General features: G+C 39.0%; 1 protein-coding gene and 1 pseudogene across 7 annotated transcripts in view; one reads left to right on the top strand and one right to left on the bottom strand.

Annotated features, from left to right (window-relative positions):
- Positions 1-23,310, top strand: part of CWH43 (cell wall biogenesis 43 C-terminal homolog) — a 75,805-nt gene that overhangs the window by 11,225 nt on the left and 41,270 nt on the right. For 6 of the 7 annotated variants that reach the window (XM_011513755.2, NM_025087.3, XM_011513757.3 and 3 more), the window contains 4 exons: positions 961-1,049; positions 6,236-6,493; positions 9,702-9,827; positions 19,750-19,829. In XM_011513755.2, coding sequence (XP_011512057.1) covers positions 961-1,049; positions 6,236-6,493; positions 9,702-9,827; positions 19,750-19,829 — 553 coding nt within the window. The remainder of the gene's footprint in view (positions 1-960; positions 1,050-6,235; positions 6,494-9,701; positions 9,828-19,749; positions 19,830-23,310) is intronic. The other variant, XM_011513758.2, reaches the window with a different exon arrangement.
- TPI1P4 (triosephosphate isomerase 1 pseudogene 4) lies at positions 18,778-19,691 on the bottom strand (annotated as a pseudogene).

Below are 23,310 nucleotides of genomic sequence, written 5' to 3' on the forward strand. Positions count from 1 at the left end.
ATTTGTTGTTGATTTGGGAGTAGAAAAAGATCCACACTGTCCTTCATGGCCTCTTCTCATATTTGGTCTTCTGTAGCCCCAGGGTCATTCTTACACAGGTAGGAGCAGGCAGTAATGTGGCTAACAGCCTCATCCCAGAGCCTGAGGACAATTTTAGATTCTTAGTCCTATGTGGGCTACTGTGTATGACCTCAAGCAGGTTACTTACATACCCTTTCCCCCAGAATTCTCCTCTGCAAAATGGGGATAATATTAGCATTTATCTTACAGGCACATGAGAATTAAATGAATAATAATTACAGGGGAAAATCTTAAAATAGTGCCTGGTATGTAGTGCATGCTATGGTTTTGAGCTTAATTTATGTGACAGCTACTTAAATGAGTCCTATATTCTAGCTATTATTGTTTCTGGGTTTCCTTCTAAAGTTTAGTCAAATTTCTTTTTTCCTCCTCTTGCAACTTTTTGCCAAAATAGCAACAGAATAAAATAGTTTGTGGTTGTTTTAAAAGACACACAGCTATCAGTTATTTATCAAACTGACGCTGGTCTTGGGAAGGCCGAGACTCTAGGCAAGAGCAGTATTGAGGTAGAGGAAAGAAAGAAAAAAAAGCAAACTAAATAGAAACCATTCCAATGACCTTTGCTTTTTGTTCTTGGCAGAATCATTTAAAATGTTACTGACCAACATGGACTGTACTTTAATAGTCTGAGAAAGCTTGGTTACTGTGTTTACATGATAAGTTGGCAGATATCATTGATCTCATGGCAGAGGTTTTATTCCTTCTCTGTTCTGAATGTGTATAATATTGGCTTCCAGTGGGCTCTCATGATCTCACTGGTTGTTTCACACACGTTATCTCTTATATGTACCCAGAGGTGGGAGGTATATTTCTATTTTATATTCGGGATGATGAAATATTACTAATGTCACATGTCTTAGAGCATGTCCTTTTTCACAGAGGTGCAGTACTGCTGTGCTTGGCAAGTGGATTGATGCTTCCATCTTGTTTGTGGTTTCGTGGTACTGGTTTGATCTGGTGGGTTACAGGTATGTGGAATTTACCTGCAGATAGAACACGACTGAGCTTGGTTATCCAGTTTGTTTGCAAGCATGCGCAACTCGACTGAAAGTAGATACAACCATACAAATATGTACTGTGGCCAAATGGGCTGTTGTAAACAGCAACTATAATGCAGATGTCACCAAGGTCACCGGTGACTACCTGCTCTGAGTTCCTGCTTCCTCCTACCTCCGCCTCCCCCTCCTCCTGTGGCTGTGCTGCTTTCCTGGACTACACTGCCATAATACTACCTACTCCCAAAAATACATAAACAAGGCACATGTGTTAAGTAGCAGATTTATAAAAATTCTTGATTTTTAATTAAAGTATATTATTTTATTTGTATAAACTTATGGGTTACAAGTGAGATTGACTGATTGATAACTTTTAAGTTCAGGGGTACATGTGCAGGTTTGTTACATAAGTAAATTCGTGCAATGGGGGTTTGTTGTACAGATTATTTTGTTACCCAGGTAATAAGCCTAGTACCCGTTATTCTTCCTGATCCTCTCTCTCCTCCTACCTGCCTCTGGTGGACCCCAGTGTCTGTTGTTCCCCTCTTTGTGTCCATGTGCTCTCATCATTCAGCTCCCATTTAATGATAACATGCAGCATTTGGTTTTCTGTTCCTGCATTAGTTTGCTAAGGATGATGGCCTCCAGCTCCATCTGTGTTCCTGCAAAGGATATGATCTCATTCTTTTTTATGGCTGCATAGTATTCCATGGTGTATATTACCACATTTTCTTTATCCAGTTTACCATTGATGGGCATTTAGGTTGATTCCATGTCTTTGCTACTGTGAATAGCACTGCAATAAACATACGCGTGCATGTGTCTTTATGGTAGAACAATTTATATTCCTTTGGGTACATACCCAGTAATGGGATTGCTAGGTCAAATGGTAATTCTGTTTTGAGGAATTGCCACACTGATTTCCACAAATGTTAGACTAATTTACACTCTCACCAGCAGTGTATAGGTGCATAGATTGGGTAGTGGTCAAGTCAGAGTTCTTAGGCTGTCCCTCACCTGATGGATACAGTGAACCCATAAGTAATTCTCATCAGTAGCAGATTTTACTGAGGAGATGAGGGCTGTGCATGGCCATGTTGCCAGTTGCCAGACCTCTTTCACTCTTCAAGATTCCTTGCTTTTCCGTGTTTCAAAAATGCCATTTAGAGTTCCATGATGAAGCTCCATTTCCCTTTCTCCTTTACATGTAACAGGGGAGCTCCCAGCCTTCCACCCAGCTGTAGGGTCCATGTCTGCTTACTCAAAGACCTGACCCATCTCTTCCCAGTTACACCCTTTAGGACCCCAGAAGTATCAGTGAAGACAATCATGTTTTGGGCTGCCCTCTTCCCTCTCCCCTAGTCTTTGTGAAGAGGAGGGAGCATTGAACTTATTTTCCTATAACAGAATTATGCCAGCCCTCCTCCTTTCCCTTAAAAGGCAATATTTAATGATTATAGTCAGGTTTTCTGACTCTAAGTAAAAAAAAAACCACTTTATTATATAGCAAATACTATATTTGGTTTATGTGAGGAGAGATGAGATGTTGTTAATACATGTTAATTAAGTTGGTGATTCAGAGTGGTACTCTAGGTGCTGTGTGTGGGTTTGAGAGACTGTATCAGTAATAGAAGATTTAGGATGACAACATAGCAAGTGAATTTCTGTACACCGTAAGTGCCGTCACATTTGCATGGAAATGTATGTGTAATCCAGATACGTGGCTAAATCGATGAGGTTGGCCAGGTCCTCTTCCTCCTGGAGCTATGTGAACATACTGTTGCAGTCTTGTTGAGCTGTTTGTATTGCTTGTGTATTTTTTGATAGGCATTGTATTTGGAGCCTGTGGAGGTTTGTGTGTACCTAAGAGTAATCTTTCTTCTCATCAGAGAGTTTATTTGTGAGATTCCTCAGGAAAAGGGCCAGGAAAGTTTGTCAGTGCTGAGTTTGCATTAAGCATATACAGTAGCTTCTTAATCTGCATATAACTTGGAAAAGGAAAAAGAAATGCATTGAGCGTTTGTTCAGCATTTATATCATGCCTTTTCACATAAAGTATAAGCAAAGTGCTTATTGGGCAGGTAGTTAACAGCTTCATTTTAACCTGAAGAACACAGAGAAATAGACTGTTAGTTAAAGAACAGGAAAGCTGTGAACCTACCGTCTTATGCTTATTTCCCCAGACAAGTAAGGTCATATCCTTGAGAGTCAAACCTAATCTAGTTTTGTTGTCTCTCTGGAGTATTAAATAGTAGCTTTAAAGACTCTAAGAAAAGCAGATTTAAGGCTTCTAGAAGGCTGCTTGCAGTAGAAGAAAGCAGGGCCATAATTCACCAGCTTCATCTTCCTTTCTGATCACTTACTCACCTGCAATAAGTTGGAGCTCAAGCTTAATTATCTGGAGGTGGTGCCCACTTTTCACTGTGATTCATCTCTGGAAACCACACAATAATGCAAGCTGTGGCCAAAGAAATCCTGTTTTCCCATTGCACAGTTTATGTTGACAATCCCAACTGGAGACTCAGCATGAAATTAATTATGGCAGTGACTGAACAATTTCATACAAGCAAAGATACAGGTGCTTTAAATGTTGATAGCAGTTAAATTAGTAAAGCCAGAGTTCTATTTTTAAAAAAAGTCTAGATATAGTAAACATATTGATAGGACCCCATTGTACTATAGTGTCCAGATAATTTTACTATATGGAAAACTTCATTTATTGAAAACTTACATGTCAGTTATTATAATTGTTATTGAAATAGTTAACTATTACTTCTGCTTGATGTCTTTGATGTTGTACAGATTTGGGGGAGATTATTGGAGGGCCTCAAACAAAAGCAGTTAAGGAATACAGTTAAATGAAAAAGGTAAAGTGACTAACAGTGCGTATCATATACTGTCATTGGTGTACAAAAAGGAAGGGAAATGCATGCACATATGTATTTCTTTGTATGTGTAGGGTATCTCTGGAAGGATGCAATGGTAAGTGCTTACACTGGATTGGTTGCCTTCACTAAGGGGAACAAATGGGTTACGGGTCAGAAAGTCCCTTTTGTAGCATTTGAATTGTAATTTTGAATTTATAACCTATTTAAACAGTACAATTTTGGTGGATTTAAAATATAGAGCCTATTTAAAAATAGAAATAAAAATGATAACAGTCAAGATAAATTTGAGAGATGTTTTCATTCCCTCTAGATAATTCTCTGTAGTAAGGAGAACAATATTATTCTAACGTCTTTAGATTAGAATATCAAATTCGGGATCATTCTTTTAAAAACAGTCATTGTAAGCCGTAAGTAAGAAAAATTCAACCTCACTAACAGTCAAATAAGTGCAATTTAAAATGTCATAGCATTTTCGACCTTAATTTGGTAAAGATTTTTGGTATTATTACATATATTTGGTAAAGATTTTTACCAAATTAAAGATGAAATTTTGGCAGGATGTGAGAGGTGTCAAGACTTGGCAAGTTTTCTGCAGGAAGCAAAGACAAGTATTAGGTTTCCTGAAAGCTGGGTATAAGGTTTCCTGAAAGTTGCTTTCAGGAAAGCAACTGGTCACAAGTCATGACTTTAAAATACTTATGCCCCTTGACATAAGAGTTGTGTTGCTAGGAATCTGTTTTAAGGAAATAATAGGTAATGTGGTAAGGGATCATTGACAAAAAAAGATGTTCATCACACTGTTGTTTTAAAAGCTTGACATAGGAACCTTCACAAATGGCCAGCAATAGGAAAATGCTTACTTATATTGTGGTGTATTTATCCAGTGAAGTATTATATGTACATTAAAATGTTTTAGAAAAAAATTATTTACACTAGTAAATGTTCCTGATATAATGTTTCATAAATAGCAGCATATAGTCTTTAATATGTGGTACAATTCCATTTATGTAAAAATACTTCTGTATATACACAGAAGAGACTTAGAAATACACAGAAATATTGGCTGTGGTTATCTCCGTCTTAGACAATCCTTAATTGCTTCTTTTCAGTTCTGTATTTTTAAAATTTCTAAAGCAAATAGGCATTACAGTTGTTTTATTTTAAAATGAAAAAATTCCATTGAGAATCTAGGTATTTGAAATCTCCCTATGGAGTTAAACTCCATGGGTTGTAGAGGACCTTGGAATCTAGTTCTCATGCTCATCTGAGAGATGTTCTTTTTGAAGTGGGGAGAAATAGGCAGTCAGGCAGGTGGCATTGCCCTGTGATGGTGCAATGGAATGTATTGATGAACTTATTGAGCTATGGGGCATTAAGATGCTGACTGGGGCCACTTTCTGCTTCCCACTCCTTTCTGGAGTTCTTGGCCGAAGTAGTGAAGAGCCTGCTCTAGCTACCCTTGAAGGGTGGGTCCCAATTATACAACATGGATTGGAATGTTTCAAAAATGCCATATTTTCTATGGAAAGGGGTTATATTGATGGTCCCAAGATGGAGTGGACCCTGCAGTGCTATTTCAAAGCTGATTTCACAAGGATTGGGGGAAAGGTTATGTGATCTCAGCATTGGCTCAATAAACTAACATTTACAGAGTGCCTGCTGTGGATCAGGCAGAATGCATAGCTCCTGACACCTAGCAGGCTGTTGGGTAATGAATGAACTGATTGCAGAATTGCTAAAGCAGTGAGCCTACAAATGCTATGTCTTCTCTTGGGGCTGTGTGGTTGGAAAAGTCAATGTACCTCTTGTAGGACAGGTGGTAGCATTTAGATGGACAGAAATTCCTTAGAAGCCCCTTAACAGAGGTGTTCTAGAAACCACACTCTACCTGTTTTCTAATGTCCTGCATCTGATTGGTTAAATGTAATATTTTTGGACATATTTTTGGTATTGCAGAAATTTTAGTTTTTATTGCTGTTAGGATCTTAACAGCAATTACCTAAAAATACCCTTTTCACTCCTCCTGCCCTTTCTGAGGAAATAGCAGTGAACTGAGATTTACTAGATCCACATTCTACCTCCAGTTGAGACAATAACTGGCTGTGTGACATTAGGCAAATCACATTAACCTTGTCAGATCTTAGTTTTCTCATCTGTCTGGAGATTGGATCAGTATACCCCTAAGGTCTGTTCTGGTCCTAAAGGCTATAAATTGGTCATCCTCTAAGCTCGACTGCTTTCCTGTCTGATTCTTTTCTCTCTCACAAACAGGAACAGCTTCAGCTGCGGGGCTCCTTTACCTGCACACATGGGCAGCTGCTGTGTCTGGCTGTGTCTTCGCCATCTTTACTGCATCCATGTGGCCCCAAACACTTGGACACCTTATTAACTCAGGGACAAACCCTGGGAAAACCATGACCATTGCCATGATATTTTATCTTCTAGAAATATTTTTCTGTGCCTGGTGCACAGCTTTTAAGTTTGTCCCAGGAGGTGTCTACGCTAGAGAAAGATCAGATGTGCTTTTGGGTGAGTACATTTGAAAGGTCTGGATTAAAATAATTGCTCAAAAATATCCTTATGGACTGACCAGGATTTAGCACTTTATGTAACTGGTGGAAATAAGCAGGATGATCTAGCTTTCTTGGTAAAATAGACTCTCTTGATTAAAACACAAAACCTGGAGTGATGTCTAAATTATAAATTAAAATCAAATGTATTAATTTACCAGCGCATTTCTGTAATACTTATTACTACAAAGGTCTTTTAAATTAATTAGTTGTGAAAAGATTCAGTCCATACTAAAGCGTAAACAATGTAACACTTGTGTTATACGATGCGTTAGGAAAAGGTATGATCATGATACTCATGCTGCCACTTCAGTGGTTGGCTCGTAAATATACATGGGGATTGTGATTTTTTGGGGTTCCCCTGAATTTTATTTATGAATGTTTTTTGAGATGAGGTCTTACTCTGGCAGTGATGTGATCACAGCTCACTGCAGCCTTGAGCTCCTGGGCTCAAGCGATCCTTCTACCTCTGCCTCCCAAGTAGTTGGGTCTACTAGGTGTGGGCCACCACACTCCACTAATTTAAAAAATTTTTTGTAGAGACAGGGGTCTTGCTATGTTGCACAGGCTGGTCTTGAACTCCTGGCCTCAAGTGATCCTCCTGCCTTGGCTTCCCAAAGTGCTAGGATTACAGGTGTGAGCCACCACACCTAGACTCTATTATTTTTATTTACCATATTTGTAACAAAAAATTCATATATCTTAGTGTAAATGGTAAATCTCCAAGTCATAGAACAAATATATTTACCATTTTAGTGGTTATGAATTTGCATACCAAAATTATAATTTAATAAACTTAGCTCAGTTTAATATTTTAAAAATTGATTCACATACCAAAATTATAATTTCATAAACTTAGTTCAATTTTAATATTTTAAAAATTGGCTTCTGGCAATAATACAATTATTGGTGTATACTAGGCATACATAAATCGAATGTTGTGAATCATTTTAGTTTACATAATTTTAGCTTAAGTAACATGTCAAATACTTCTACAAAGTGTTTGAAAGATGAGGAGAAAAAACATGTTAATAAGGGATCTACTTGTTTGTTTGTTCACTTATTCATTAAAAATATTAACACGATTTCACTGGTTGTCTACATTTTGAAAAAAAATGATCATGTACCTTATGTTCCAGGAACAGTGCCAGATACTGAAGATTATTTTTACACATTTTTATCTGTATAAATTTGTGGGGTACAATTGCAATTTTGTTACATGCATAGGTTGCATAGTGGTTAAGTCAGGGCATTTAGAGTATCCATCACCCTGACAGGGTACATTGTATCCATTAATCAATTTCTCATCATTGCCCCCTTTCCCACCCTCTCACTCTTCTGGTCTACTTTATCTACCACTCCCAGCTGCTGAAATATTAAAAACACCCACTGTCCTTGCCTACCTGGAGCTTTAGTTGAATGGGGGAAACATCATATATAAAACGAGACAAATACTTAAGAAATTACAGTTGTGTGAGTGCTACTCAGGAGAAGTGAAGGCTTCTATTAGGGTTCTGTTTTTTTTTTTTCTTTTTTTTTTTTTTGAGACAGGGTCTTGTTCTGTTCCTCCAGCTGGAGTGCAGTGGTGCAGTCATAGCTCCCTGTATCCTTGAGCTCCCCCCTCAACCTCCCAAGTAGCTGGGTCTCCAGGCACACACCACCATGCCTGGCTGATTATGTTGTTTTTTGTAGAGATGGGGTCTCACTTTGTTGCCCAGGCTGGCGTCGAACTCCTGGGCTTACGCAATTCTCTTGCCTCAGCCTCCCAAGGTGCTGGGATTACATCTACCTGGGTTCTGTTACAGTTCCCCTGGTGCCCTGACAGACATCCGACTACTCTGCACATTTTGCCATATGCTTTTCTACCCCACGAGCTAGACATCTGTCAGGAGAGGCTGGTTTGAAAGACATATTTTAAAATTACATGAAATATTTTTGAATTAACTTGGAGAATTTGGTATTTCTGGTAAATACTCAAGCTTTCATCTAATGAGAGAAACACATTGCTGCATTTCCTCCGTGGTAACCTTGGCTTTGCAAACTTTGTATTTCTTCTGATTTATTTCAGGTGTGTGTACTCTCTCCTGCTTTGTTTTCTTGTCCAATGCCCTGCTTTTTTTCTTATACCAGCTTGCTTAGGGATCTGCCATGAGAAAAAAACAAATGAAAGTAAGAGCTATTCCATGCATGAGTTTGTTTCTTTAGAATTTTATGAACGATGAGTTTTTTTTTTAGTTTCTTCTCACTACTTATGGAATTGTAGAAACAGTGCATAATTACAGCTTCATACAACTAAGAACTTTAAAGAAAAATAAGAGTGATGTTATTTGATGAGGCCACAAAAGCCAAGAAATGTTGGTAATATTCAGAGTGGCTTTTAATACAACTGAGTTGAAAAGAATATTTATTATATCAGAATTTAGTTATAAATTTATTTCCTGGATTCCTCCTGCTATTTCCTGGAAAATTGGACACCGCTGTTTTTGCTTGGCTTCTGACTTTTACTTGACATTTCTTAAATGCCTTAATTTCTTAATTTCCATATGGCAGCATATCTCTGTTTCCATTCTTAGTATGTATGGTTTTAGATGAAGTAAGTAAACTTTAAGTGTAAGCTAGTTTGTTGCATATCCCAATTTAGCTCCACTTTATTGGCTGGCCTGTTGGCACACTGTGATTTCCAGCATGCATCCTCTGTGAGGCCTCTGTGCCCAGAAAACTCACATCCTGGGGCAGAATTATCACAAGCACTGCCATATTAAGAGCCTACGTATGATCCATTGTGATCCTCAACCTGGTGCACGGAAGGGCTCTTATTGCATCCCTATGGGAGCTCAGAAGACTTCACTGTCCCCTGCCCAATCAACAGTCAGTCATGAACACGTTCAGCAACCTAACAACTAGGAAATACTCAAGAAATTCAAAGAAATATGTATCGGGAAAAGGCTGGGGTCCTGTCATTTAAAGCACGATTCCTAGAACCCTACCTGATATTTTCCAGTTATCAAAAGCACTACTAGAGTAATTGTTTAGGTTCTGAGATAAATTAAATCAGTACATGAATTTCCAGGGTATGTTCCTTTCAAGGAACTCTCAGCTGCTGGAATACAACATTGGAAGGATTTTTGGATCAGACTATAACATATTCTTTCTTTCTCTTATAACAGGGACAATGATGTTAATTATCGGGCTGAATATGCTATTTGGTCCTAAGAAAAACCTTGACTTGCTTCTTCAAACAAAAAACAGTTCTAAAGTGCTTTTCAGAAAGAGTGAAAAATACATGAAACTTTGTAAGTATAGTTTTACATTCTTAAAAAAAATTAATTATATAAAATTCTAAACGTATGAAATTAAAGAGTATAATGATCCCTCATGTATCCTTCATCCTGTTTCAGCAATTCTCAACATTTTGCCATGTTGTTAATAGCTATCTTCTCTAGTTTTTTTAAAAAATTATACTTTAAGTTCTAGGGTACATGTGCACAACGTGCAGGTTTGTTACATAGGTATACATGTGCCATGTTGGTTTGCTGGACCCATCAACTCGTCATTTACATTAGGTATTCCTCCTAATGCTATCCCTCCCCCCTCACCCCACCCCACAGCAGGCCCCAGTGTGTGATGTTCCCCGCCCTGTGTCCGTGTGTTCTCATTGTTTAATTCCCACCTATGAGTGAGAACATGTGGTGTTTGGTTTGTTGTCCTTGTGATAGTTTGCTGAGAATGATGTTTCCAGCTTCATTCATGCCCCTGCAAAGGACATGAACTCATTTTTTATGGCTGCCTAGTATTCCATGGTGTATATGTGCCACATTTTCTTAATCCAGTCTATCATTGATGGACATTTGGGTTGGTTCCAAGTCTTTGCTATTGTGAATAGTGCTGTAATAAACATACGTGTGCATGTATCTTTATAGTAGCATGATTTATAATCCTTTGGGTACATACCCAGTAATGGGATGGCTGGGTCAAATGGTATTTCTAGTTCTAGATCCTTGAGGAATCACCACACTGTTTTCCACAATGGTTGAACTTATTTACACTCCCACCAACAGTATAAAAGCGTTCCTATTTCTCCATATCCTCTCCAGCATCTGTTGTTTCCTGAGTTTTTAATGATCACCATTCTAACTGGTGTGAGATGGTATCCCATTGTGGTTTTGATTTGCATTTCTCTGATGCCCAGTGATGATGAGCATTTTTTCATGTGTATGTTGGCTGCATAAATGTCTTCTTTGGAGAAGTGTCTGTTCATATCCTTTGCCCACTCTTTGATGGAGTCGTTTGTTTTTTTTTTCTTGTAAATTTGTTTAAGTTCTTTGTAGATTCTGGATATTAGCCCTTTGTCACATGGATAGATTGCAAAAATTTTGTCCCATTCTGTAGGTTTCCTGTTCACTCTGATGGTAGTTTCTTTTGCTGTGCAGAAGCTCTTCAGTTTAATTAGATCCCATTTGTCAATTTTGGCTTTTGTTGCGTTGCTTTTGGTGTTTTAGTCATGAAGTCTTTGTCTATGCCTATGTCCTGAATGGTATTGCCTAGGTTTTCTTCTAGCGCTTTTATGGTTTTAGGTCTAATATTTAAGTCTTTAATCCATCCTGAATTAATTTTTGTACAAAGTGCAAGGAAGAAATCCAGTTTCAGCTTTCTCCATATGGCTAGCCAGTTTTCCCAGCACCATTTGTTAAATAGGGAACCCTTTCCTCCTTTCTTGTTTTTGTCAGGTTTGTCAAAGATCAGATGGTTGTAGATGTGAGGTGTTATTTCTGAGGCCTCTGTTCTGTTCAATTGGTCTATATATCTGTTTTGGTATGAGTACCATGCTGTTTTGGTTACTGTAGACTTGTAGTATAGTTTGAAGTCAGGTAGCCTGATGCCTCCAGCTTTGTTCTTTTTGCCTAGGATTGTCCTGGCTATGTGGGCTCTTTTTTGGTTCTATATGAACTTTAAAGTAGTTTTTTCCAATTCTGTGAAGAAAGTCATTGGTGACTTGATGGGGATGGCATTTAATCTATAAATTACCTTGAGCAGTATGGCCATTTTCATGATATTGATTCTTCCTATCCATGAGCATGGAATATTCTTCCATTTGTTTGTGTCCTCTTTTATTTCATTGAGCAGTGGTTTGTAGTTCTCCTTGAAGAGGTCCTTCACATCTCTTTTAAGTTGGATTCCTAGGTATTTTATTCTCTTTGTAGCAATTGTGAATGGAAGTTCACTCATGATTTGGCTCTCTGTTTGTCTGTTATTGGTGTATAGGAATGGTTGGGATTTTTGCACACTGATTTTGTATCCTGAGACTTTGCTGAAGTTGTTTATCAGCTTAAGGAGATTTTGGGCTGAAATGATGGGGTTTTCTAAATATACAGTCATGTCATCTGCAAACAGGGACAATTTGACTTCCTCTTTTCCTAACTGAATGCACTTTATTCCCTTCTCCTGCCTGATTGCCCTGGCCAGAACTTCCAACACTGTGTTGAATAGGAGTGGTGAGAGAGGGCATACTTGTCTTGTGCTGGTTTTCAAACGGAATGCTTCCAGTTTTTGCCCATTCGGTATGATATTGACTGTGGGTTTGTCATAAAGGGCTCTTATTATTTTCAGATATATTCCATTAATACCTAGTTTATTGAGGGTTTTTAGCATGAAGCACTGTTGAATTTTGTCGAAGGCCTTTTCTGCATCTATTGAGATAATCACGTGGTTTTTGTCTTTGGTTCTGTTTATGTGATGGATTATGTTTATTGGCTTGCATATGTTGAACCCACCTTGCATCCCAGGGATGAAGCTAACTTGATCTTGGTGGATAAGCTTTTTGATGTGCTGCTGGATTTGGTTTGCCAGTATTTTATTGAGGATTTTCACAGTGATGTATATCAGGGATATTGGTTTAAAGTTCTCTTTTTTTGTTGTGTCTCTGCCAAGCTTTGGTATCAGGATGATGCTGGTCTCATAAAATGAGTTAGGGAGGATTCCCTCTTTTTCTATTGATTGGAATAGTTTTAGAAGGTATGTTACCAGCTCTTCTTTGTACCTGTGGTAGAATTCGGCTGTGAATCCTTCTGGTCCTGGACTTTTTTTGGTTGGTAGGCTGTTAATTATTGCCTCAATTTCAGAGCTTGTTGTTGGTCTATTCAGAGATTCAACTTCTTCCTAGTTTAGTCTTGGGAGGGTGTATGTGTACAGGAATTTATCAATGTCTTCTAGATTTTCTAGTTTATTTGCATAGAGGTGTTTATAGTATTCTCTGATGGTAGTTTGTATTTCTGTGGGATTGAAGGTGATATCCCTTTATCATTTTTTATCATGTCTATTTGATTCTTCTCTCTTTTCTTCTTTATTAGTCTTGCTAGTGATCTATCAATTTTGTTAATCTTTTCAAAAAACCACCTCCTGGATTCATTGATTTTTTTGAAGGATTTTTGTGTCTCTATCTCCTTTCGTTCTGCTCTGATCTTAGTTATTTCTTGCCTTCTGCTAGCTTTTGAATTTGCTGGCTCTTGCTTCTCTAGCTCTTTTAATTGTGATGTTAGGGTGTCGATTTTAGATCTTTCCTGCTGTCTGTTTTGGGCATTTAGTTCTATAAATTTCCCTCTACACACTGCTTTAAATGTGTCCCAGAGATTCTTGTACATTGTGTCTTTGTTCTCATTGGTTTCAAAGAACATCTTTATTTCTGCCTTCATTTCATTATTTACCCAGTAGTCATTCAGGAGCAGGTTGTTCGGTTTCCAGGTAGTTGTGTGGTTTTGGGTGAGTTTCTTAATCCTGAATTCTAATTTCATTGCACTGTGATCTAAGAGACAGTTTGTTATGATTTTGGTTCTTTTATGTTTGCTGAGGAGTGCTTTACTTCCATTTATGTGGTCAATTTTGGAATAAGTGTGATGTGGTTCTGAGAAAAATGTATATTCTGTTGATTTGGGGTGGAGAGTTCTGTAGATGTCTATTAGTTCCGCTTGGTGCAGAGCTGAGTTCAAGTCCTGGATATCCTTGTTAACCTTCTGTCTCATTGATATGTCTAATATTGACAGTGGGGTATTAAAGTCTCCTATTATTATTGTGTAGGAGTCTAAGTCTCTTTGTAGGTCTCTAAGGACTTGCTTTATGAATCTGGGTGCTCCTGTATTAGGTGCATATATATTTAGGATAGTTAGCTCTTCTTGTTGAATTGATCCCTTTACTATTATGTAATGGCCTTCTTTGTCTCTTTTGATCTATGTTGGTTTAAAGCCTGTTGTATCAGAGACTAGGATTGCAACCCCTGCTTTTTTTTTGCTTTCCATTTGCTTGGTAGATCTTCCTCCATCCCTTTATTTTGAGCCCATGTGTGTGTGCATGCAAGATGGGTCTCCTGAATACAGCACAGTAATGGGTCTTGACTATCCAATTTGCCAGTCTGTGTCTGGGCATTTAGCCCATTTACATTTAAGGTGAATATTGTTATGTGTGAATTTGATCCTATCATTATGATGTTAGCTGGTTATTCGCCCATTAATTGGTGCAGTTTCTTCATAGCATCGACGGTCCTTACAATTTGGCATGTTTTTGCATGGTACTGGTTGGCGTGTTTTTGCAGGTACCGGTTGTTCCTGTCCATGTTTAGTGCTTCCTTCAGGAGCTCTTTTAGGGCAGGCCTGGTGGTGGCAAAATCTCTCAGCATTTGCTTGTCTGTAAAGTATTTTATTTCTCCTTCACTTATGAAGCTTAGTTATAAAATTCTGGGTTGAAAATTCTTTTCTTTAAGAATGTTGAATATTGGTCTCCACTCTCTTCTGGCTTGTAGGGTTTCTGACAAAAGATCCGCTGTTAGTCTGATGGGCTTCCCTTTTTGGGTAACCCAACATTTCTCTCTGGCTGCCCTTAACATTTTTTCCTTTATTTCAACCTTGGTGAATCTGACAGTCATGTGTCTTGGGGTTGCTCTTCTTGAGGAATATCTTTGTGGTGTTCTCTGTATTTCCTGAATTTGAATGTTGGCTTGCCTTGCTAGGTTGGGGAAGTTCTTCTGGATAATATCCTGAAGAGTGTTTTCCAACTTGGTTCCATTCTCCCCGTCACTTTCAGGTACACCAATCAAACCTAGATTTGGTCTTTTCACATAGTTCCAAAGTTCTTGGAGGATTTGTTCATTTCTTTTCACTCTTTTTTCTCTAAACTTGTCTTCTGACTTTATTTCATTAATTTGATCTTCAATCACTGATATCCTCCTTCCACTTGATCAAATCAGCTATTGAAGCTTGTGCATGAATCACGAAGTTCTTGTGCCATTGTTTTCAACTCCATCAGGTCATTTAGGGTCTTCTCTACACGTTTATTCTAGTTAGCCATTCGTCTAACATTTTTCAAGGTTTTTGGCTTCCTTGCAATGGGTTAGAACAAGCTCCTTTAGCTCGGAGAAGTTTGTTATTAGCCACCTTCTGAAGCTTACTTCTGTCAACTCATCAAAGTCATTCTCCGTCCAGCTTTGTTCCATTGCTGGTGAGGAGCTGTGATCCTTTGGAGGAGAAGAGGCACTCTGGTTTTTAGAATTTTTGGCTTTTCTGATCTGGTTTCTCCCCATCTTTGTGGTTTTATCTATCTTTGGTCTTTGATGTTGGTGACCTGCAGATGGAGTTTTGGTGTGGATGTCCTTTTTGTTGATGCTGATGCTATTCCTTTCTGTTTGTTAGTTTTCCTTCTAACAGTCAGGTCCTTTAGCTGCAGGTCTGTTGGAGTTTGCTGGAGGTCCACTCCAGACGTTTGCCTGGGTATCACCAGTGGAGGCTGCAGAATAGGAAATATTGCAGAATAGTAAATATTGCTGCCTGATCCTTCATCTGGAAGCTTTGTCCTAGATTGGCACCCACCTGTATGAGGTGTCTGTTAGCCCCTACTGGGAGGTGTCTCCCAGTTAGGCTACATGGGGGTCAGGGACCTACATGAGGAGGCAGTCTGTCTGTTCTCAGAGCTCAAATGCCGTGCTGGGAGAACCACTGCTCTCTTCAGAGCTGTCAGACAGGGACGTTTAAGTCTGCAGAAGTTTCTCCTGCCTTTTGTTCAGCTATGCCTGGCCCACAGAGATGGAGTCCATAGAGGCAGTAGACCTTGCTGAGCTGTGGTGGGCTCCACCCTGTTCCAGCTTCCTGGCTGCTTTGTTTACTTACTCTAGCCTCAGCAATGGCAGATGCCCCTCCCCCAACCAGGCTGCGCCTTGGAGGTTGATCTCAGACTGCTGCACTAGCAGTGAGCAAGGCTCCCTGTGTGAGGTACCCACCCAGCCAGGCACAGGATGGTATCTCCTGTTCTGCCGGTTGCTAAGACCATGGGAAAAACACAGTATTTTGGCGGGAGTGTCCTGTTTTTCCAGGTACAGTCTGTCATGGCTTGCCTTGGCTAGGAAAGGGAAATCCTCTGGCCCCTTGCACTTCCCGGGTGAGGTGATGCCACGCCCTACTTCAGATCACCCTCCATGGGCTGTGCCCACTGTGCAACCAGTTCCAATGAGATGAACCAGGTACCTCAGTTGGAAATGCAGAAATCGCCTGTCTTCTGTGTCGATCATGCTGGGAGCTGCAGAACAGAGCTGTTCCTATTCGTCCATCTATTTCTCTACTTTTTTTTTTGTACTTTAAAGCAAATCTCTGATATCATGCCATTTCCACCATAAATACTCTGTATTGGTTTTATTTCACTTCTAACATAGATAAGAGAATTCAACATGCAGAATTTCCAAAATGATTTGTTCTAATGGTTGAGACTATTTACTCCATTTCTTGTTTTCCTTTTTTGGGGAGATTATGTTAATGTTTGGGATGCTGATGAACTAAAATCTCAAACATGAAATTAGTTTACTATTCAATATAGTAAACTCATGTAAAATAGACTGGATTAAATAAAAATGTACTGAATGTATTTAATGTGAAGACAGCGTGTTAAGTAGTTGTTAAGTAGGATTCAAAGATGTGAATAATGGTCTCCACCTTCAAGGACTTGGTGCTTTACAAAGGAGACAAAATATTATAGTGTAAAGATATAAAAAACAATTAAGAAGCTGTATAAGTTCTCTATGTATTTCCAAAAGAAATATCACAAAACAGACCATTATATAAAAACCTTCATATATGTTTCATCTTAATTTAAAAGATTATATTTGGCCAGGTGCAGTGGTTCACTTCTGTAATCCCAGCACTTTGAAAGGCCAAGGCAGGAGGATTGCTTGGGGCCAGGAGTTCGAGACCAGCATAAGCAATGTAGTGAGACCCCATCTCTACAAAAAATTTAAAAATCAGCCATTTGTGGTGGTGCACCTGCAGTCCCAGTAGTCTCAGCTACTAGGGAGGGCGAGGGTGAAGTGGGAGGATCTTTTGAGCCTGGGAGGTCAAGGCTGCAGTGATGGTGCCACTGCACTTCAGCATGGATGACAGAATGAGACTCTGACTCAAAAAAAAAAAAAAAAAGAGAGAAGAAAAGATTCTATTTAAACTTAGGGAGAAATGAGATTTTTTTTGTGTGTTTTCTTATGTTTTGGTATATCCCTTGAAACAAATAACTAGCAGTTTTTGTTTTTAATCCTGACAATCTTTGTCTTTTTTTTTGTTGTTGGTAAGAACCACAATTCTTTAATTCACTTATCAAATCGAGGCATTTGGAACAGTTTATTTACAGTTATTTAGTCATTTTTGTGTGATTAAAAAAAGACAAGTTTCTTAGAGCAATTTTAGGTTCATAGGAAAATTATATGGAAAGCGTGGAGATTTTTCCATATGCCTCATGCCCCCACATACATACAGCACCCCCCACTATCAAAATTACTCACCAGAATGATACATTTGTTAAAATAAATGAACCTACATTGATACATCATTGTCACCCAAAGGCCATAGTTTACATTAGGGTTCACTTTTAGCTTTGTACAGTTTAGGAGTTTTGACAAATGTATAATTACATAGATCCCTCAGTGCGGTATCATACAGAATACTTTCTCTGCCCTAAACATCCCCTGTGCCTCACCTAATCATCGATTCCTCCTCCAAACCCCTGGCAACCACTAATGTTTTACTGTTTTCATTGTTTTGCATTTTCCAGAATGTCAATTTTTGTCTTTTAAGGGTTTAATCTATTTTTACCATGATTTCTGAATGTATATTTATCTAATGTGATCATCTTACTTTTCTTTTTCATTTTCCACTTTTTCTAGGTATGTTTTTTCCTTTTTCTTTTTGATATTTTTTTCATTGATTAGGGTTTTTTTTTTCCCTTATGCCCCTCCTCCCCACTCCTCTTTCTAGTTTGGAAATTATACTTTCAATATCTATTCTTTTAGTAGTTGGTTGTTTTTCTCTTAGCACATTGAAGATATTATTCTCCTGTCTTCTGCTGTTGAGAAGTCAGCTGTCAGTGTAATTGTTTTTCCTTGGAAAATAATCTGTCTTTTCTCTTTGGCAGCTCTTAAGATTTTTCTGTGTTTTGGTGTTCCGTAGTTTCACTGTGATATATCTGGATGCAGATTTTTTCCTCCATCTTGCTTGATAGTCTTCAGGCTTTATGAATCTGAAGAGTCATGTCTTTTATTATTTCTGGAAAATTCTCAACATTGTTTCTGCAAATATTGCTTCTTTCCCATTCTTTCTCTTTCTTTTTGACTCCAATTAGATATGTGTTGGACTTTCTTATTCTGTTTTCCATTGCTGTTAACCTCTTTCATATTTTCTGCCTCTATGTTTTGGGCTGCCCCTTGAACTAACTCTCTATTCAGCTTTGTCTAATTTGATTGTCTTTGAGTTTCTAATTTCAATTATTATAATTATCTTTTTATTTCTAGAACTCTATTTGATTTCTTTTCAAAATTTTCTGATTATTTATTTTAGTCTCATGTTCCCTAGTCATACTTTTGAATACCCTCTTTTATTTCTGTAAATATAATAAGCATACTTGTTTTATATTCTGATTCAGAGAGTTCCAACATCTGTCTCTTTGTGGGCTTGATTCTGCAGGGTGTTTTTTTCTTTGTTTCCTGCTCATGGAAACTTGTTTTCTTGTGTGTTTTGTGACTTATTTTTACTTTAAGCTCATGGTCCTTGGAACATTTTTAGGGGAAATTCTTGAAATCTGGGTTTAAAGAGTGGTTGATGTACACATGTCACACATGAAAATTAACCGAAGAACTACACATTTCCCCTTTGCACAAAATCATTGGCCAATAAATTCAATAATTTTATAAACCTTGTTATTTTAAAACAAATTTAGGTGTTTTTTTTCCCTAGTGCCATGTGTTTATTCCCTCCCATGTGAGTGGTTCGCATACAGAGCACACACAGGAGTGGGCACCATGGAAGAGGGCAGCATTCCTGGCTTCTGATGGGAGGATCTTGGCCTCATGGTGTAAGAAGGGAGAGGATGGTTTATCTCCTGCCTTCACTGGGGCCTAGGGGACCCAGGAGCAAATTCCACCCTTTCCATCTCTCAGCCAAGGAGAAGCCACCTTGGTGACGTTTAGTTCCAACCATTATAGTAAGCGGAGAAGGGATTGGCCTGGTCTCAACCATTACAGGGTGAAGATATAAACAGTAAAGGAAGGTACAGTTTGGATGAGGCCACAAAAGAGGGCAGATGACACCATCAGAAGCATGTGCAGGGGAGGGGCAGTTACTGGGCTTCTGGGCTGCTTAGTCCATTCACCTTATCTGTGATGACCTTTGCCTGCTCGAAAACAACCTTCTCAGTGATGCCAGCTTCCCTTGCATCTAGCTTCTTCCCAATGCAGGTGATTACTCCAAGTCCCTCTGCCAGAGCACGGGCCACTTTCTGCTCAATCAGTTCATCTGACTCCCCAAAGACATGCCTTCTCTCCGAGTGCCCCAGGACTACCCACGTAGCTCTGCAGTCTTTGATTATGCCAGGGCTGATCTCCCCAGTAAAGGCCCCATTAGTCACTTTGTAGCAGTTCTGCGCAGGCACAGCAATCTTGGGATCTAGCTTCTGCTGGGTGAAGTCGATATAGGCAGTTGGGGGAGAGCAAACCACCTCAGCGTCGGCTGGCACCTTGGTCACGTTCAGTGTCAATGAGCTCCCCAAGACTCTTCTTCCACCCATTCATCTTCCAGGTCCTCCAAGAAGAACTTCCTGGAGGGTGCCATGGCACTGGAGCTGAGGCACTGAAGGTCAGTGTCAGCAAATTTATTTTATTTTATTTATTTTAAAAAAACCCAATTATTTCTTTTTTCTGTTTAGTTCTGTGGCTGCTTGTTGGTGTGGGATTGTTGGGATTAGGACTACGGCATAAAGCCTATGAGAGAAAACTGGGCAAAGTGGTAAGTAATTAAAAACCTTGAAATAGAATTTTATATGGTATATATATGTGCATATATTTGTACAATTTACCATTCTGATTGAACCTGGATCTGATGACTTCAGAGCCCTGGGCCCTATCTCCTTAACCCTTATGTGCCAGACTGATAAGATAGTGGGATTATTTTATGAAGTTGGGTTCTTGGAATAGGATAGGCCCATACACTAGAGGCAAATTGTTGATGATTTTGTTTTATGGAGTTATTTCTGCCATTCATGATTTAACATATCTGAACTATGTGTATTAGTTTGTTCTTGCACTGCCATAAAGAAATACTTGAGACCGGGTAATTTATAAAGAAGAATTTTAATTATCCCATGGTTCTACAGGCTGTTCAGAAAGCATGGAGGTATCTGTTCTACTTCTGGGGAGGCCTCAGGAAACTTGCAATCATAGTGAAAGGCAAACAGGGAGCTAGTTATCTTATGTGGTGGAGCAGGAACAAGAGAGAGAGGGAGTAGGTGCTACACATTTTTTTTTTTTTTATTTGATGGAGTCTCACTCTGCCGCCCGGCTGGAGTGCAGTGGTGCGATCTTGGCTCACTGCAACCTCTGCCTACTGGGTTCAAGCAATTCCCCTGCCTCAGCCTCCTGAGTAGCTGGGACTATAGGCGGTGTGCCACCATGCCCGGCTAATTTTTTTTTTTGTATTTTAGTAGAGACGGGTTTCACCATGTTGGCCAGGATGGTCTTGATTTCCTGACCTTGTGATCCGCCTGCCTCCCAAAGTGCTGGGATTACAGGCATAAGCCACCATGCCTGGCAGGTGCTACTCACTTTAAAACAACCAGATCTCATGAGAACTCACTCTTTCACTATTACAACAACACCAAAGGGGGTGTTTTATCATTTATTTATTTATTTATTTATTAGAGAACAGTACCGAGGGTGTGGTGCTAAACCATTCATGAGAATTCCACCCCCATGATCTGGTCACCCCCAGGCCCCAACTCCAACACTAGAGGTTAAAATTCAACATGAGATTTGGTAGGGACACAGATTCAAACCATGTCACTATGAAATAAGCAACTGTTTTATATTGGATTTTCTGTACTTCTTGGTAGATATTGCTGAATACAGCAATGTGAGATTCTTTAGGAAAACTCTTACAGATAATTCTTGATTTTGCACATTATGGGTAGCTTATGCCTTGACAGGTAGTAAAACTTTTCTTGTCTCTTTCTTTCCTCTCTTGCTATCTGCAGTTTTAAATGTTTTAATATCCTTTTCTCTTTTAGAACAGTGGGCAGAAATAAGAATAAGTAATTGAATGTTGTGCTTTCTATCTGATCTGATAAAAAATCTAGTGTGTTTCATAATGCAGTCAGAGTTACAGTTTTGGTTAAAATAGAAATTGTTGAGGGTTGACTTTGAATTTTAGCAATCTGTACTAGCGGGAACATTTTTCATTTTGAATAAAAAGCTACACTGAGAACACAGACCATGCTTCTCTTCTTGGTCTTTGTACTTCCAGTAACTTACAGAGTGCTTGCCAGGTATTCAGAACTAAGTAACTATTTCTTAATAAGTAGATAATAGTAGACCATCATTACATGCTCCTTTAACTGTCGGTCATTATTATTGCAACATAATGTCCATCAGAAAAGGATACCTAATGTCATCCAGGAATTCTTTTTGGAAGGAGTTATTTGAATTGGATTTAATACCTGTTCTTTTGGTCATTTGCTCATTCATTCATTTGGCTAATGATTACCAAATGTTTCTTTATTACCTGGTGCCAGTGATACAGATATAAACAAGTTGGACAAGAACCTGCCCTGCCAGAGTTTGCATTCTAGTAGGGGAGAATTATAGTATTTAGAGAACAAATAAAGAAATGGTCTCCTTTTAGATCAAGCTGCCATGAAGGAAACAGGATTGTAGAATGGAGGGTAACTGGGTATGGGGGATTAGAGAAAACTGTCTGAGGAGGTGACATTTGAGATGAAATTTGCAAGTTGAGAAAAAAGTTGTGAGGCCTGGGATGTTGGCAGAAGGAACACATATAAAGGACTGAGGGAGAACGACACCTGGTGTGTTTGAGGGACATCAGGGTGACTGGCATGGCTGAAGCTCGGTGAAGAGTAGTAGAAGATGACGTGGAGAGGCTGGGGAGGGCCATACCAGGGCCTTGTAGAACACAGTGAGAAGTGCTGCTTTTATTTTTTATTTATTTTCATTTTATTATTAGTATTATTTTTAATGTCAATAGTTTTTTTTTTAATGTTTTAGATGGAATCTCACACTCTGTAACCCAGGCTGGGGTGCAGTGGCATGATCTCGTTTCCCTGCAACCTCTGCCTTCTGGGTTGAAGCGATTCTCTTGCCTCAGCCTCCAGAGCAGCTGGGATTACAGGCGCACACCACCATGCCCAGCTAATTTTTGTATTTTTAGCAGAGACAGGATTTCACCATGATGGGCAGGCTGGTCTCAAACTCCTGACCTCAAGTTATCTGCCTGCCTTGACCTCCCAAAGTGCTGGGATTACAGACGTGAGCCACCGCACCTAGCCATTGTCAATTGTTTTTGGGCAGGTGGTTTTTGGTTATGTGGATAAGTTCTTTAGAGGTGATTTCTGAGATTTTAGTGCACCCGTCACCCAAGCAGTGTACACTGCACCCAATATGTAGTCTTATTTTGTGATCACGTTTTTTTCAATAGGTTTTTGGGGAATGGGTGCTGTTTGGTTACGTGAATATGTTATTTAGTGGTGATTTCTGAGATTTTGGTGCAGTCATCACCTGAGCAGTTTAACTGTACCCAATTTGTAGTCTTTTATTCCTCACTCCCTCCCACCCTTTAATAAGCAACTGAGTCTCCTGAGTCTCCAAAGTTCATTGTATCATTCTTACACCTTTGCATCCTCATAGCTTAGCTCCCACTTACGTGCAAGAATATATAATATTTGGTTTTCCATTCCCGAGTCACTTCACTTAGAGTAATGGTCTCCAATTCCATCCAGGTTGTTGCAAATGCCATTATTTTATTCATTTTTTATGGCTGAATAGTATTCCATTACACACACACACACACACACACACACACACACATATATATATATAAATCATATTTTCTTTATCCACTTGTTGATTGATGGGCATTTGGGCTGGTACTATATTTTTGAAATGTCAAATTGTGCTGCTGTAAACATGTATGTGTGAGTATCTTTTTCATATAATGACTTCTCTTCCTCTGGGTAGATACCCAGGAGTGTGATTGCTGGATCAAATTGTAGATCTATTTTTAGTTCTTTAAGGAATCTCCACACTGTTTTCCACAGTGGTTGTACTAGTTTACCTTCCCACAGACAGTGTAAAAGTGTTCCTTTTCACTACATCCATGCCAACATTTATTAGTTTTTGATTTTTTGATTATGGCCATTCTTGCAGGAGTAAGGTAGTATCACATTGTGGTTTTGATCAGGCATTTCCCTGATCATTAG

This window comes from Homo sapiens, chromosome 4 (genome assembly GCF_000001405.40).
Source record: "Homo sapiens chromosome 4, GRCh38.p14 Primary Assembly".
Lineage (NCBI taxonomy): Eukaryota > Metazoa > Chordata > Mammalia > Primates > Hominidae > Homo > Homo sapiens.